The sequence below is a fragment of the Homo sapiens genome, chromosome 15 (assembly GCF_000001405.40).
Source record: "Homo sapiens chromosome 15, GRCh38.p14 Primary Assembly".
Taxonomy (NCBI): Eukaryota; Metazoa; Chordata; class Mammalia; order Primates; family Hominidae; genus Homo; species Homo sapiens.
Window position 1 is genome coordinate 39,406,957 of NC_000015.10, and position 16,069 is coordinate 39,423,025.

Sequence of the window (16,069 nt, forward strand, 5' to 3'; positions counted from 1 at the left end):
TACTTGGCTGGTGCTTTAAGTTCCATTGTCACCTATCAGAGATAATACAAGTCATCTAACTGGACCTTTAGAAAGAACATATGAATAATACAATGTGTCAGATATATTCACTGATGACAACAGAAATCACTGTTGGAAAAGAGCATCATGATAGATGGTGATGACTTGTCATTGGAGGTTCAGAAAGTGAAGAAACATTCTACAAAAAAAACCTGGTTGCTACACAGAGGTTCTCAGCAAGATAAAAATAGGTAGTACTAGCCCAAAGAACATTGCAAAGGTCAGGCATTTGTTTCTATATCTCCAAAGTTCTCTTTCCAGTCTCCTTCCCAAATTCAACAAAAGACTCATCATTTACCATATTTGCATGTTTAAGTCTTTAATCTTGTGCAATTTAAGACATATGTTTAAGGAATTTCAGACAATAGAAAACAGATGGGGAGATTTCTGGCAGGAGAGTTCAGTGAGAGGCAGAGAGGTCTTCATATCCTTAACACCGCACTACGCCTAAAACTGGTTTTAAACCAAAACTACCTATACAAACTTTTCCAGTGCCCTGTGGTCTAGGGGTTGGAGTGCAACAAGAAGTGACAGAATGCTTACGTGAAAGGAACAAGGAGTTGCCTGGCCTGTTTCTATCTTCCTGCTCCTGCATGGCCAGACTCAGGGTGCAGGGCTCCCTCTGACTGAGCCCTTTACCCTTCCTGAGGCCACTATCCCAGTATAGGGCAACCCAATTCCCTCAAAAAGGGTAACGGGCTTTCCTTACAACATTATTCCTTAGGGAAGCTCAGCTTCTAAGGTTCCTGATCATCTAGTTCTCTAGGACTAAACCAATCTGATATGGTGACTCTAGTTTTCTGCACGAGATCCATGGGCTGACCCATAATCTAAAAAAAACCTGAAAGAATATTTGAAATTATGCCTGCATCACAATATTGGGCATGCTCCAACTCAGTAGAAGACCAGGCAGCTTGAAGCATTAGCATGGGGTACAAAAAGCCCCAGGCCTGCTCAAGGAAAAGAAAGCCAAGATCAAGGACAAGAGAACCTTACTGGGAGTAAGATCTAGAATCTGAGTGTGATCATATACATGTTGATGATAACAAAGAAAAAGAACGCAGCATCAGGGAAAATTATTCATGATGAGACAAGTTATTAGTACCAGTGGACTAAACAATGGGGGAAAAAAGTTCTATTTTTTTTCTATAAAAGTAATACTAAATGTAACCATTGCAATACTAAATATAACCATACACCCATCAATGTATGGCCAAATACAACAGAAGTAACGTATATTTTAATGTGACAAAATTGTTAGTTTTATTAAATGACAATGCTAAAATGAACTGCTTATTCTTCTTAGCCTGTAATTTGTGGTTGTCAATTTGTTCCTAAAGTAATAAAAGACAACATTATTGAAAAATCTTGATATTATTTGGTTTGTCTACCTCTATGCAACGCCACATCCTTATCTCCAGGTATTATATGAAATATGTTATGTTATTCTAAATCCCTATCATTTTGTGACTTAAGATTATATTGCTATTTTGAACTGTTTGAGAGTTTTTGAGGGTTTTATAATTTCCACTGGCATGGGCAGTATTGTATTTAAGAAAATGATGTTGTTATCAGGTAAACTTCAGTATGAATATCACTTAAGAAATATTCAAACTTGCACTGTGAGGTATTACTTTACCTCTTTACATCTCAGTGTGCTTTTCTATAAAATGGGTATAATAATTGCTATGATTGAATATACCAACTAATGGTACTACATAAGGGTTGAGACTTATAAAGTCTCATAGTTGGGCAGCCCTTAGATTATCCAAGTGATCATCTAATCATGGTTGTAGAGATCATCTTTTCTTATGTATAGTTTTTAAAAATTAAATACCTTGGATGATAATGCTAAAAAAGGACAAATATGTAACTGGGATATCAGATGTGAGGACTGTTTAGAAGGAAAAAAATGTTTAAATCACTGAATCTACACTGGTCCAAACAAATGGAAATGAGTCCTATTTCTGAAGAACTTAGTCTACCTAGGAGCTCTTTGAATTTATACGAAGTAGTGAGCTTATTAATGTAGTCATGCTGTATCTTAAAGTTACCTTCTATTTTTTCCCAGCTCTGTTTATTATCATAGCTAATGATTCCAGTTCTTTCTTACTGAACCCAACTTCTGCCAGACACAGGGCTTGGTAAGATGGATGGATGGATGGATGGATGGATGGATGGATGGATGGATGGATGGATGGGTAGGTGGATGGGTGGATGGGTAGGTGGGTAGGTGGATGGGTAGGTGGATGGGTGGATGGGTAGGTGGATGGGTGGATGAGTGGGTGGGTGGGTGGATGGGTGGATGGGTGGGTGGGTGGGTGGGTAGCTGGGTGGTTGGATGGATGGGTGGGTGGATGGATGGGTGGGTGGATGGATGGGTGGTTGGATGGATGGGTGGGTGGATGGATGGATGGGTGGGTGGGTGGATGGATGGATAAGTAGATAGACAGATAGATAAAATGATAAATATACATAAAATCTCAGGTAATTTTAAGAACAACCTTTAACATGGTTACTATTAATTTTCCCTCATTTTACATATGATGAAAATGAGGTTTAAAGATGCTAAGAAATATGCCCCAAATCACAAAGCAAGTAAGATATTTCAAACAATAGCAAATAAATGCATCGTTACTTTTGCAAGACAGTGGGATAACAGTATCATCAAGTATCTATGGACTATTATCCCTATAAATAAAACTTGAATCATTAATTCTCCTTCGAAACAAAACTAGAAATCTACTAACCTATCCCATGGCGTAGGATATTCAGTAACATATCTGGAAGGAAAATACAGAAAAGGTCACTACAAGCAATAAAAACTCTAAATAATAGTAGCAGGAATCATAACAACAATGATGATAGCAAGAGGAATTAAGGGAAATAAAGAAGAGCCAGTATTTCCTTAAACATCTGCAAGTGACTTTGTGGAATCTCCTTGAGATTTTTCCAAAAAAGATAGGTAAATGTGAAATAGAGATACTCAACTCCAATGAATGTTATCTAGAATACTTTAGTGAGATCTCACAGCCTACGCAAATGGCACAAGCTATGTTCTCTAATGTGTTTCTCAATTTTGGCAAGTATATGGATGTCTTATGGATATGGTCATCAAAAAGTCATTGTTAATATGACACTAGAATCCTGTGACTACAACAACTCTAGCAACAAATTTTCTTCAGAATAATATCTCTGACTGGTTTATGGCAAGTGATTGGTTTATGACTGCTAAGTCCATCCTGATATGAGCTTAGAAGATGTTTTCCATATTGGTCTTGAAGAAACTTATACTTTCATCAGCAGGGGCCAGGACCTGAAGCTCCTCCAAGATTTTCCCAGTATCACCAGATTCCTAGGTCTATGACTCAGTTACAACATGTTCAATAAATATTGACTACGTGCACATGATTTTCCTATTGCTGTGCTCTCTGCAATGAGGAATGGCAATAAATGAAAACACAGTACCCCATCTGGAAGGAAATGAAATATCATGGATTTGGAGCCATGTGTTAATTATTGCTAACCTTCTCTGGAGTCCCTAGGTTAAGAGGACACTCCAAAGCCTCACAGTGCCCTGGAGCTATCATAGATAGTAACTACGATTCTCAAGTATCTTTTAGGCCCCAGTGCTCCGACCCCAATCGCACAATCCATTTGTATTGGCTCCCATTCCAGTAGGTGCAAAGCTACCTCATTCAAGTTCTTCCCTGCAGATTTCTCCTTTCAAGATGGTTGATTTATCCAGAAGTACAATCTAGCTTTTTCTAGTAAACTATAGGGCAAATAGTATTGTCGCACACTTCTGAGTTGGAAGTGATAAAACCGGAAAGATACAACAGAATAATTGAACGCCTCTTCTTGTATCCCAGCACCACCGGGTCTTCCTCAGCCTATTCCTGGACAGTTTAAACCTCAAGCAAAGGCTTTCTGTGCTCTGACACTCCAGGCTCACTTCTCCTCACGACCTTTAACTTGCTGCTCCCCTGTGCCTGGGGTGCTCCCCCAAAAAACGGCTGTGGCATTCCTTTCCGCACTGCATTCAGATGGCTGCTTAAATACCACCTTTTCAGAAATGCTCCCCTTGGCCACCCTACCTAAAAGATTAAAATCTCACTATCATCCTGACTCCTCTATCTTATTTTTTATCATTTTTAACCCCTTGAAAAAACGTATTTCTCTATTTTCTGTCTCCTCCCAGGTTACACTTGAATGTAACCTCCCTGGCAAGGGGAACTTTGTTTTCTGCAACTGCCCAGTTTCCCAGACCTAGGAAGTACTTCACTGACATATTTCGAGTTAAAACAAAAAAAGAAAACAATGGGTAAGACAGACTTATTTGCTTTTGAGTGCAGAGATCAATTGTCTGAGCAGGGAGGCAAACTTATCTTTAAAAGCTGGCTCTACCTACTAGATTATTCAGGTGGTGTTTTCTTTTTGCCCTGGCATCTTGTACCTTGCTTCTCACTTCCAGGACATATTTAGCCCAGAGCCTCAGGAAGGATTTGGAGAGGGCTTATTACAGGCTAAGATTTAGACCTATGCACATACCCAGACTCAAGATCAGACTTGCGTTAAAACCACAGACACAGAGCAGCCATTGACTCTACCACAATCAAAGTTTGATCATAACATAGAAATGGGAGATTAACTAAGAGGAAGCCAATTAGCCAGGACACTCAACCTCTTGGACCACAGCTGATTTTGAAAGTTAAATGTTTGATGGAATCTTGCTTCCTCATTCTCAATGACCTAAAGCAGAGGCACAGGGAGGTGAAATGGTTTGCCCAACATCCCACAGTGTATCAGCAAAAGCGATGGGCTTGGAAACCACCAGGTTTCCATTTCCTGTCTATGACCACACTAAGAGTGAGAATCCTCAAGAGGCATGCAGAGTAAGCTCAAGCACTGATGGTAAGGTAGGAGGAAGGAATCACACACACAAACTCACACTTTCTCTCATTCTCTCTCTCACACACACACCCCACATACTACTGATAAATGTGGGCTTCATTAAGTTGCCCTTCCCAAGTTGTCTATAAAATTGCATAAATATCAAATCTTTTCCTTGAAAATTTCCTGGATGAATGTGTTCTTTCCTCTATAAACTTGCTGAAGGCTTAGCTATTTCTCTAATCTTTGAGTATATCATTTCAGTTCTTGCCAGCATGAAACTATCTCGAGGGAGCACTGAAAGGAGCTAAGTCTCTTGCATTTCAACTTTCCACAATCCAAAGTCAACCCAGATTATTACAAGTTTTCTCACATCCTTCACTTCCCCCAGAGAGAACTATCTTTTGAGGAACCTATTTCATCTATGACAAATAAATGATCTGAAGTTTTATAACGCCCCTCAAAGAGCAAGTTTAGGCTTTGAGCACTTCAACAATCAGAAGAATAAAACAACCTAACAAGAGATGCAAAAGACCTGGAAACAAGTGGCAAAGGCAGATTAATAATATAATTTCTACCATCTTATTTCTTTTTGTCCTTTCTCTCACTACCTGGTTAATCTCTTATTAATAGTTCTCCATCAAATATCTCCCCTCGCCCTTTCAATATCTTCAAACTCCAATCTGATGCACAAAGCTAACAGTATAATCCTTCAGCTGATATTGGTGGACCCTTTACATCCAGTTATAATCAGTACTCCTCACTGTGATAGTTAAGGATCCTCACAGTCTGGGCCCACTCTATTGTGGTGGTCCCTAAGAGGAAGGGGAGGTGCATTGTGCCTGCATCCAGGGTACATTTTTGTCATGACTCCAGGTATGCTAGTGGTATTGGCAGTATCTAATAAATAAAGAGCAGAGATGCTGCTAAATATCCTACAATGCATGAGACAGCCCCCTGCCACAAAGAATTGACCAGTCTCAGTACTGCTGAGGCTAAGGAATCCTGTTCTGCAGGCTTCGCTCCACTCCTTTGTGGTTGTGTAGTTTTGTTTTGTTTTGTTTTTTCGATTGACTCTTTAATAGATGATTTGCAATCCCCTATACCTAGACATTGTTTATGAGTTCAAACCCTTGGACATCATCCTTGCCCCTCTTCTACCTGGAAGCCTTAGACCCTTTCTTTAGCTGGCAGACCCCTGCCTTTACTTTAAGGCCCATCTTCTCCTTGAAAGCTTCCTGGATGGATGTGCTCCTTGCTTTCTAAATTTACTGAGTGCTTTGCTAGTCCTCTCTTATGACATTTATCACCATTATCTGGAATTACGTACTACAGGCTCTAAGAAAGTAAAACTCTTGTTTGTTCAAGGTTATATGGCCAGTACCTTCGAAGAGTGGAATATAGCAAGTGCTAACGAATACTTGTTGATCAAATGAGGATTTATCTGTGATGTAAACTCACAACTCTCCTATCAAAGTTCCCTGGAACTGGAAACATCTTTAGCTCTTCTCTGAATCATGTATCACTTCTTCCTAGAAGGTGCTTAATGAACAATGCTTATATGTCTAAATATTTAAATGAATACACATAGAGTATAATAGAAATATTAAGTAAATATGTAAATACAAAAATACATATATTACATATTAAGTAAATACACAAATAAGGCTTGGCCTGTAGAAATTCAAGTCCTAGGCAACAGTTCACCCATCTCAATTTTCAATTACTTCTAAGAATCATGTCACAAGTATGTTTCAATGTCTGACAGTTCCTCATTTTTAAAAAGAACACCAAAATGAGCATTTAAATGTTAATTGCTCATCTGGAGAGCACATGAAACAGAAAACACGCAAAGACAGGATGTGTTGCTAGTTGTGCCTGAGTAGAAACTAATATACTGCCCTGAAACACTGACTTCAGCTTCTAGTGACACATCACAAACCTGTTGCAACACAAAGTGCAGGCTAAACATAACCAAATTATAATGACAATATTTAAGAATAGAGAGAATTGACTGGGAGACAACAGTAAACTTGGGGCCCTAGTGGAAATTCAACTTTACAGCTAATTTTTATCTAATGTGCTGCAGTTTGTCAAAATTTTCTTGTAGCCCGTATTCAGTGAAGATGGAGAAGAGCCCCAATTCTGGGGAATAAGTCTATATATTTTTGTATAGCAATTCATACTCCCTCATCTTTTTTGCCAGACACACTGATTCCTTCATTTTTATCTTTTATCATAGGTGTTGTTTTCTGCTTTATAGTCATCCTTCCATATAATTCCTAATATTTTCACAAATTGCATACATAGAGAAACAAACAGCATTTTAATTAGCACTCACCTTGCTAAGCCCGTTACATGCATTATCTCATTTAATTCTTAAGAGAGCCCTAAAACACAGGTATGATTATTATTCCGTGTTCACATTAGGAAATTGAGGCTTGGAAAATTTAAGGAACTTGCCCCATGTCACACAGCTTAAATGACTCAGAGGTTTTGTATGCTGCGAGCGGCTTCTGTGACAGTTTTTAAATGTCTTTGAATTCATCAAGCTTCTAGTAATTATTTATTGGGCACCAGTAAAGACTCAGGCTTTGTGATGGCTTTGGAGAGAAAGTGGAAAGCAATAAGGCATGTGGTCTTTCCTCTCAGGAAGCTGACAGCTACTGGACAAGGTAGATGTTAATCAAATTCTCATAATGACCCTAAATGTACAAACTGTTTCTTGATGCACAAGAAACAGAGGCTCTGAAAATATGTAATCGAAGAACCTAGCTATAACTTTGAAGTTAGGAAAGGCTTGGAGTGGTTAGGAATTAATGATTAATGCAGAATTCAGAGGCACAGAAGATGGGAAACATCTCAGAAAGAATGAGCAGCACCTGCAGAGGCCACGGCAGGCAGGAGTGTGGCACAGTCAACAAACACAGAGGGACCTCGAGAGGGAGTGCAGGATGAGGGCAGGTGGGGCCAGATTGAGTTGGGTTCCCTAGACACAGACTCTGAGACAAGGACTGGGTTCAAGTATAGTTTAATTAGCAGATGATTTCAGAGAGCTCAGTGAGGGAGGAGGAAAGTGAGAAAAGACAGGAGGACAGCAACAGTGGATTTCCACCTGAGCAACTGGGCCTCAGTCCCGCTAGGACTTCTGAGATCCCATGTAAAACATACTTCAGAGTTGTCTCACTGAGGGACAAGAAAGGTGGGCCACTCATCCCCAAGCCCCAGGCTCAGGGGTGCTCCTGGAGACCCCAGTGTGCCTCCTGGGAGAGAGCATGCCAGGGCAGGAGCTCTCTGCATGTGGGGGAACTGCCACACATGTCGTGAGGCTGGAGCATGGTCAGCCTGTGCTACAGGACTTAGGCAACTCCACCCTAAGAGTGATGGGGAGCTATGCAGCAACCTCACCTGGGGCGAGGCTGTATCCTGATCAGATTTAGGTTTGGAACATTGCAATGTGGACAGCAGATTGGAGGGAGGGAAGGGCGGATGTCAAGAGGCAGCTAGAAGTTACCAGAGGCAGGACCAGCTGCATAACATGTAAAGACCAGTGCAAAGCAAAATGAAAGGACCCTTGCTCACAAAGAAGGATAAAAGTGCGTTTAAAGGTAGGAAAACATTAAGTTTATTCCTTTCTCCTGTGCTAATGGGTCCTGTGGTTTTTAAATTGCTACTGAGTATTACGCTCTCTTGGGCACAGGGATACTCCTGGGGTGAGTGCAGATTCTCACTGGCACTCAGGAGGGAGTACCACCCTGTGACAAAGCCCAACTGCTCCAGGGTCAGCCACCAGCTTGAAATTCCCTGCCCCAGCTGGAAGTGGGGAAGTTGAGCCAGGTGTCTGCCCTTCCCATGGGCCTGCCACCCCAACCCACAGGAGAGGGGAACTCACAAAGAATTGTAACCTCCACATTAGGAAGTAAATCTGGGATGTGCAAGAAGCACACCCCTGCTGAGTCATGTGCTAAATGTGCCATGGCATTGCCAGTCCCTGGCAGGGATGGTCATCACCATTTTCAGTCCCAAGAACCCACACCCAACCCCAACCCTCCTCACACCTGTGGCCAGGTACCTGTTAGAGGCAGGAGGCGGCAGCAGCCATCGAGGTGGGCAAGAGGAGACCAGATGTAGCCTGGGGCACCAGGAACCAGGGAGTGGGTAGCCAAGAACCCTCAAGGGAAGCAGAGAGGCAGCAGGAGATGGAACAGTGTATGAGCCAAGGCACATGGTCCCATCACTCTCCTCTTACAAAATGTAAGTTCAGAGATAAAATTGGCATTAAGCAGTGCAAGACAGCTCATGCAGAGCATAAAATCCCAAGTTGAGGGTCCTTTGGAGTAAGGGTCCCTGTATGACTGCACTGGTCACATGCTTATCACGTTGGTCATGGGTCCAGGACAGAAAGGACAGTAACTTGGTCTAGCGTCTAAGATATGAAGAAATAAGCCAACCTGAAAAATGTTTGGGAGCTAAAATGACTTCAAATCATGGATTTCATATGAATGGGTATGATGGAGCAAGATGGGGAAATACAGGAGGATGCCTGTGTGTCCATGGAGGCATGCTACCAGATGTCCCTTCAAGAAAGAGCTTGCTATTTGGCTGCAGGAAGTGCAGTTAGCTGATAAGCTCCAGCCATTAGCACCTTCAGGATTTGCTTCAGCTTTTGTGCTCAAGCTACACTTTCCCCAGGCAGCTGTTAGCCAATGACCGCACACAGCAGGGATATTAGCGCCCATTCCTTTCTACCTAAGGCAGGACTCCTGTAATCGTTTTCTCTGGAGCCCCCTTTTGGGTTTCCCTAGACTTTGTCAGATCTGCATTATAGTTTGAGACTCCCGATTCTTAGTCCTACTTCCTCCCCCTTTTCCTTCCACAGGTATGATATTCGCATGGGTCTCTGAAGACATCCCCTGCTCAATCCTGTGTTCTTCCCCTTTCATAGGCATTATCCCTCCACTCCATAAACCTCTAGCTCCATCTCAGCATTTTCTTCCCAGGGAATCCAGCTGACACAGTGTCAAAGACATGTCCGAGTTATCTGTTTGGTGCATCTGCATGGACTGATCGGGGATACTAAGAAACAGCAGGTTTATTGTGCCTCAGTTATATCACCTAGCACCTTTGCAAAGCACTATGCTTGCTTCATTGGAGAATGTAGACTAAGATCACTGTTCCTCAAGAAGGCTATCATCTAGATGGGAAGACAAGGCTCAAGACAAATGAGCAGATGGCTTTTCCAAAGACCTGAAGAGAATTCTTTGCAAGAGATAAAAACCTCCAGATGTTTAGGCAGACCACACCTCAAAGATGACACAGCAAGTTTTCTCTGCCAACCTAGATATAACTTCTAGATTGTATGTGTGTGTATGTGTGTGTGTGTATCTGATGAATTTGTATAACTTCTCAACTCTGTGAAAGGTTAGTATTTCATAAGCCACCAAGAAACCTACCTTGACTTCCAGAAGAGTCTAAAACAGCCTCCAACACTATGTCCAAGAGGTTGCTAAATCTGTATTTTCAACAGGTCCCCAGAGAGTGGGTATGAACTGGGCTTTGGTGTGGGCCTGCAAAACAGGCCTAGCTATCCTTCCTAAAGGCCCAAATGCCCTGCTCCACCAAGCCTGGCTGGGCTAATTTGGAAAGTTACTCACGAGGACTTGCCTGTTTGATCCAAGGATGACATCAAAGGATTGATGCTCCATCTGTCAGCTCTCACTTTTATCTATTTGCTCTTTATTTAAAGCAACCATTTATAAACAGAGGCTTATGGAATTAATAAACTCCAAAAAAGATGATCATTCACTATATCTCTGCCAGGTGTTACAATAGAACAAAGAGAAGTGTTGAATCAAATGCCAAGCTTTGTAATACTTAATTCGGAAAGCAGAGTTTTCCCGGAATGACCCCCACTTTGGACAGAACCCCTACTGCACACTCATCCTATCTTTGGCAATTCAGCAACAATGTATTTTCCATCTTGTGGAGAGCCAGAATGCTGTTGGAGCAGTGGGATGTGCACTCAGCCTTTCTGCACATGGGGACCTGATCCAACCATCCGCACGTGACCACATGTTCTCTGAGGAGCTATTGTGCATTGGCATTGAAACATTTCAAACATTTCAGATCATGGGCGCTTCTTGGCAATGGTCCTTAGTAGTCTAAATAGGCAGATTAAAGAACTAGATAGCAGCCAATTGCCTTGCAGGTTTTGTATAAACTATTCATAACAAAAGTGTTGGAGGGAAGAAATTTTCTTTACTTCTCTCCCAGGTGAATTGAGGGAGGACCAGGGAGAAGCAAAGCTGCCTGTCCCTGGGTCTTCACTCTCACCTGTGTTTCCATCTGACCGATGAAGGCAAGCAGAGCAGACATGAAGGAGGGGTACATGCGGTGGATGGGTCCGCGCCTAGAGAAATCTCAACCACAGGTGGACTAAAACGGACATATCAGAAGGCTATGAACCATGATCACACACGGAATTCTAGAGAATCTAAGTCTATAGGATTGTATCTTTTATTCTTTCTTTCTTTTTGGCATGGGGTTGGGGTGTGCATTTATTTTATTTTTTATTTTATTTATACTTTTTATTTTTCCATAAGTTATTGGGGTACAGGTGATATTTGGTTACATAAGTTCTTTAGTGGTGATTTGCAATATTTTGGTGGACCCATCACCTGAGCAGTATACACAGCACCCTAGTTGAAGTCTTTTATCCCTTGCCCCCTCCTATCCCTTTCCCCAAATCCCCAAAGTCCATTGTATCATTCCTATGCCCTTGCGTCCTCATAGCTTAGCTCCCATATATCAGTGAGAACATACGATGTTTGGTTTTCCATTCCTGAGTTACTTCACTTAGAATAATAGTCTCCAGTCTCATCCAGGTCACTGCAAATGCTGTTGATTCATTCCTTTTTATGGCTATGTAGTATACCATCATATATATATATATATATACACACCACAGTTTCTTTACTCATTGATTGATGGGTATTTGGATGGTTCCACGATTTTGCAATCGTGAACTGCGCTGCTATAAACATGTGTGTGCAAGTTATCTTTTTTGAATAATGACTTCTTTTCCTCTGGGTAGATACCCAGTAACGGGATTGCTGGATCAAATGGTAGTTCTACTTTTCATTCTTTAAGGAATCTCCACACCATTTTCCACAGTGGCTGTACTAGTTTACATTCCCACCAGCAGTGTAGAAGTGTTCCCTTATCACCACACCCACGCCAACATCTACTGTTTTTCAATTTTTTGATTATGGCCATTCTTGCAGGAGCAAAGTGATATCACATTGTGGTTTTGATTTGCATTTCCCTGATCATTAGTGATGTTGAGCATTTTTTGCATGTTTATTGGACGTTTGTATATCTTCTTTTGAGAATTGTCTATTTATGTCCTTAGCCCACTTTTTGATAGGATTTTTTCACTGATTTGTGTTTGTTGTGGATTCTGAATATTAGTCCTTTGTCAGATGTATAGATTGTGAAGATTTTCTCCCACTCTGTAGGTTGTCTGTTTACTCTGCTGACTGTTCTTTTTGCTGCACAAAAGCTCTTAGTTCAGTTAGGTCCTAGTTATTTATCTTTGTTTTTATTGCATTTGCTTTTGGGTTCTTGGTCATGAAATACTTATCTAAGTCAATGTCTAGAAGGGTTTTTCCAATGTTATCTTCTAGAATTTTTATAGTTTCAAGTCTTAGGTTTAAGTCCTTAATCCATCTTGAGTTGATTTTTCTATAAGGTAAGAAATGGGTTGTGTCATTTTAAATCCCATTAGACTTTTTTCTCCAAGCTTAACAAAAGAAAACAGGCATGTGGATTCAAAGTCTCTGCCTTGCTGTTCCTACCTTGCTGTGGTAGGTTAGTCTGATTCATGCAGGCACGACAGGCCCAATCAGATGCTGCATATACAAATTCTACAGCTGAAAGGGGACAGCCCTGAGAATTCCAAAAATTCTTTTGCTAGGTGACAGCAAGGGCAAATCATGCTGTACAAGTCCCCGTTCCTCCTCCACAGATCCTCTCCCAACACTAGGCCTACATTCATAAACTTAGCCCTTCTCCATGAGATACAAGCAGAAAAGAATAAAGTCATTTGCTAGACGATTCTAAAAGTCACCACAGCTATTCACAGGAAATCATCATGCCAAAAGGTGTAGGGAGACACTCATATGAGGGGAGGTGGAGAATTGAGTGGGGAGATGGCATACTCAATAGCTCAGCTAAAAAACACCATCATGATCATCAACCCCAAGCCTTCCTTTTAGAGATGAATACATTGAACCCCAAAGATATGATGGGACCTGCCCAACATCAGTGGCAGGGCCCCTGCCAGGGCCTGGGTGTCCTAATCCCAGTCCTGCTGTTTCCATTCCTGCCACTGATGGGCCTGCCACAGCTGCTGATGGACCCTGACAGGAGACGTGGTGGGAATGGCTGCTTTAAGGACCACATCACAGAGTCCCTGGGCCCCTCTGTCCTTATTTTCATCTCTCTCCATGACTAGAGTCAAATAATTCTTCTTTGGAAATCACTTTCTAATACCAAACTCAGGGGCTTCCTGGACAAAAAGCCAGCTCAGTGCACTATGGCAACACACAGCAGGAGAAGGGAAGAAAAAATTACCCGTTAAGACATGTAATGCCGAATCCAGACCCAAGATGGCCGAATAGGAACAGCTCCGGTCTACAGCTCCCAGCGTGAGCGACGCAGAAGACGGGTGATTTCTGCATTTCCATCTGAGGTACCGGGTTCATCTCACTAGGGAGTGCCAGACAGTGGATGCAGGCCAGTGGGTGTGTGCACTGTGTGCGAGCCGAAGCAGGGCGAGGCATTGCCTCACCTGGGAAGCGCAAGGGGTCAGGGAGTTCCCTTTCCGAGTCAAAGAAAGGGGTGACGGACGCACCTGGAAAATCGGGTCACTCCCACCCGAATATTGCGCTTTTCAGACCGACTTAAAAAACGGCGCACCACCAGACTATATCCCGCACCTGGCTCGGAGGGTCCTACGCCCACGGAGTCTCGCTGATTGCTAGCACAGCAGTCTGAGATCAAACTGCAAGGCGACAGCGAGGCTGGGGGAGGGGCGCCCGCCATTGCCCAGGCTTGCTTAGGTAAACAAAGCAGCCGGGAAGCTCCAACTGGGTGGAGCCCACCACAGCTCAAGGAGGCCTGCCTGCCTCTGTAGGCTCCACCTCTGGGGGCAGGGCACAGACAAACAAAAAGACAGGAGTAACCTCTGCAGACTTAAATGTCACTGTCTGACAGCTTTGAAGAGAGCAGTGGTTCTCCTAGCACGCAGCTGGAGATGTGAGAACCAGCAGACTGCCTCCTCAAGTGGGTCCCTGACCCCTGACCCCCGAGCAGCCTAACTGGGAGGCACCCCCCAGCAGGGGCACACTGACACCTCACACGGCAGGGTATTCCAACAGACCTGCAGCTGAGGGTCCCGTCTGTTAGAAGGAAAACTAACAAACAGAAAGGACATCCACACCAAAAACCCATCTGTACATCACCATCATCAAAGACCAAAAGTAGATAAAACCACAAAGATGGGGAAAAAACAGAGCAGAAAAACTGGAAACTCTAAAACGCAGAGTGCCTCTCCTCCTCCAAAGGAACGCAGTTCCTCACCAGCAACAGAACAAAGCTGGATGGAGAATGACTTTGATGAGCTGAGAGAAGAAGGCTTCACACAATCAAATTACTCTGAGCTATGGGAGGACATTCAAACCAAAGGCAAAGAAGTTGAAAACTTTGAAAAAAATTTAGAAGAATGTATAACTAGAATAACCAATACAGAGAAGTGCTTAAAGGAGCTGATGGAGCTGAAAACCAAGGCTCGAGAACTACGGGAAGAATGCAGAAGCCTCAGGAGCCAATGCGATCAACTGGAAGAAAGGGTATCAGCAATGGAAGATGAAATGAATGAAATGAAGTGAGAAGGGAAGTTTAGAGAAAAAAGAATAAAAAGAAATGAGCAAAGCCTCCAAGAAATATGGGACTATGTGAAAAGACCAAATCTACGTCTGATTGGTGTACCTGAAAGTGATGCGGAGAATGGAACCAAGTTGGAAAACACTCTGCAGGATATTATCCAGTAGAACTTCCCCAATCTAGCAAGGCAGGCCAACGTTCAGATTCAGGAAATACAGAGAACGCCACAAAGATACTCCTCGAGAAGAGCAACTCCAAGACACATAATTGTCAGATTCACCAAAGTTGAAATGAAGGAAAAAATGTTAAGGGCAGCCAGAGAGAAAGGTCGGGTTACCCTCAAAGGGAAGCCCATCAGACTAACAGCGGATCTCTCGGCAGAAACCCTACAAGCCAGAAGAGAGTGGGGGCCAATATTCAACATTCTTAAAGAAAAGAATTTTCAACCCAGAATTTCATATCCAGCCAAACTAAGCTGCATAAGTGAAGGAGAAATAAAATACTTTACAGACAAGCAAATGCTGAGAGATTTTGTCACCACCAGGCCTGCCCTAAAAGAGCTCCTGAAGGAAGCACTAAACATGGAAAGGAACAACCAGTACCAGCCGCTGCAAAATCATGCCAAAATGTAAAGACCATCGAGACTAGGAAGAAACTGCATCAACTAACGAGCAAAATCACCAGCTAACATCATAATGACAGGATCAAATTCACACATAACAATATTAACTTTAAATGTAAATGGACTAAATGCTCCAATTAAAAGACACAGACTGGCAAATTGGATAAAGAGTCAAGACCCATCAGTGTGCTGTATTCAGGAAACCCATCTCATGTGCAGAGACACACATAGGCTCAAAATAAAAGGATGGAGGAAGATCTACCAAGCAAATGGAAAACAAAAAAGGCAGGGGTTGCAATCCTAGTCTCTGATAAAACAGACTTTAAACCAACAAAGATCAAAAGAGACAAAGAAGGCCATTGCATAATGGTAAAGGGATCAATTCAACAAGAAGAGCTAACTATCCTAAATATATATGCACCCAATACAGGAGCACCAAGATTCATAAAGCAAGTCCTGAGTGACCTACAAAGAGACTTAGACTCCCACACATTAATAATGGGAGACTTTAACACCCCACTGTCAACATTAGACAGATCAACCAGACAG

General features: G+C 42.3%; 1 long non-coding RNA gene across 1 annotated transcript in view; it reads right to left on the minus strand.

Annotated features, from left to right (window-relative positions):
* The window catches only part of LOC105370777 (uncharacterized), a 556,255-nt gene extending 542,151 nt beyond the window's left edge, over positions 1-14,104 (minus strand). The window contains exon 1 of the long non-coding RNA XR_007064588.1: positions 13,588-14,104. This is a non-coding gene — a long non-coding RNA (uncharacterized LOC105370777). The remainder of the gene's footprint in view (positions 1-13,587) is intronic.
* Positions 14,105-16,069: the final 1,965 nt, after the last annotated feature.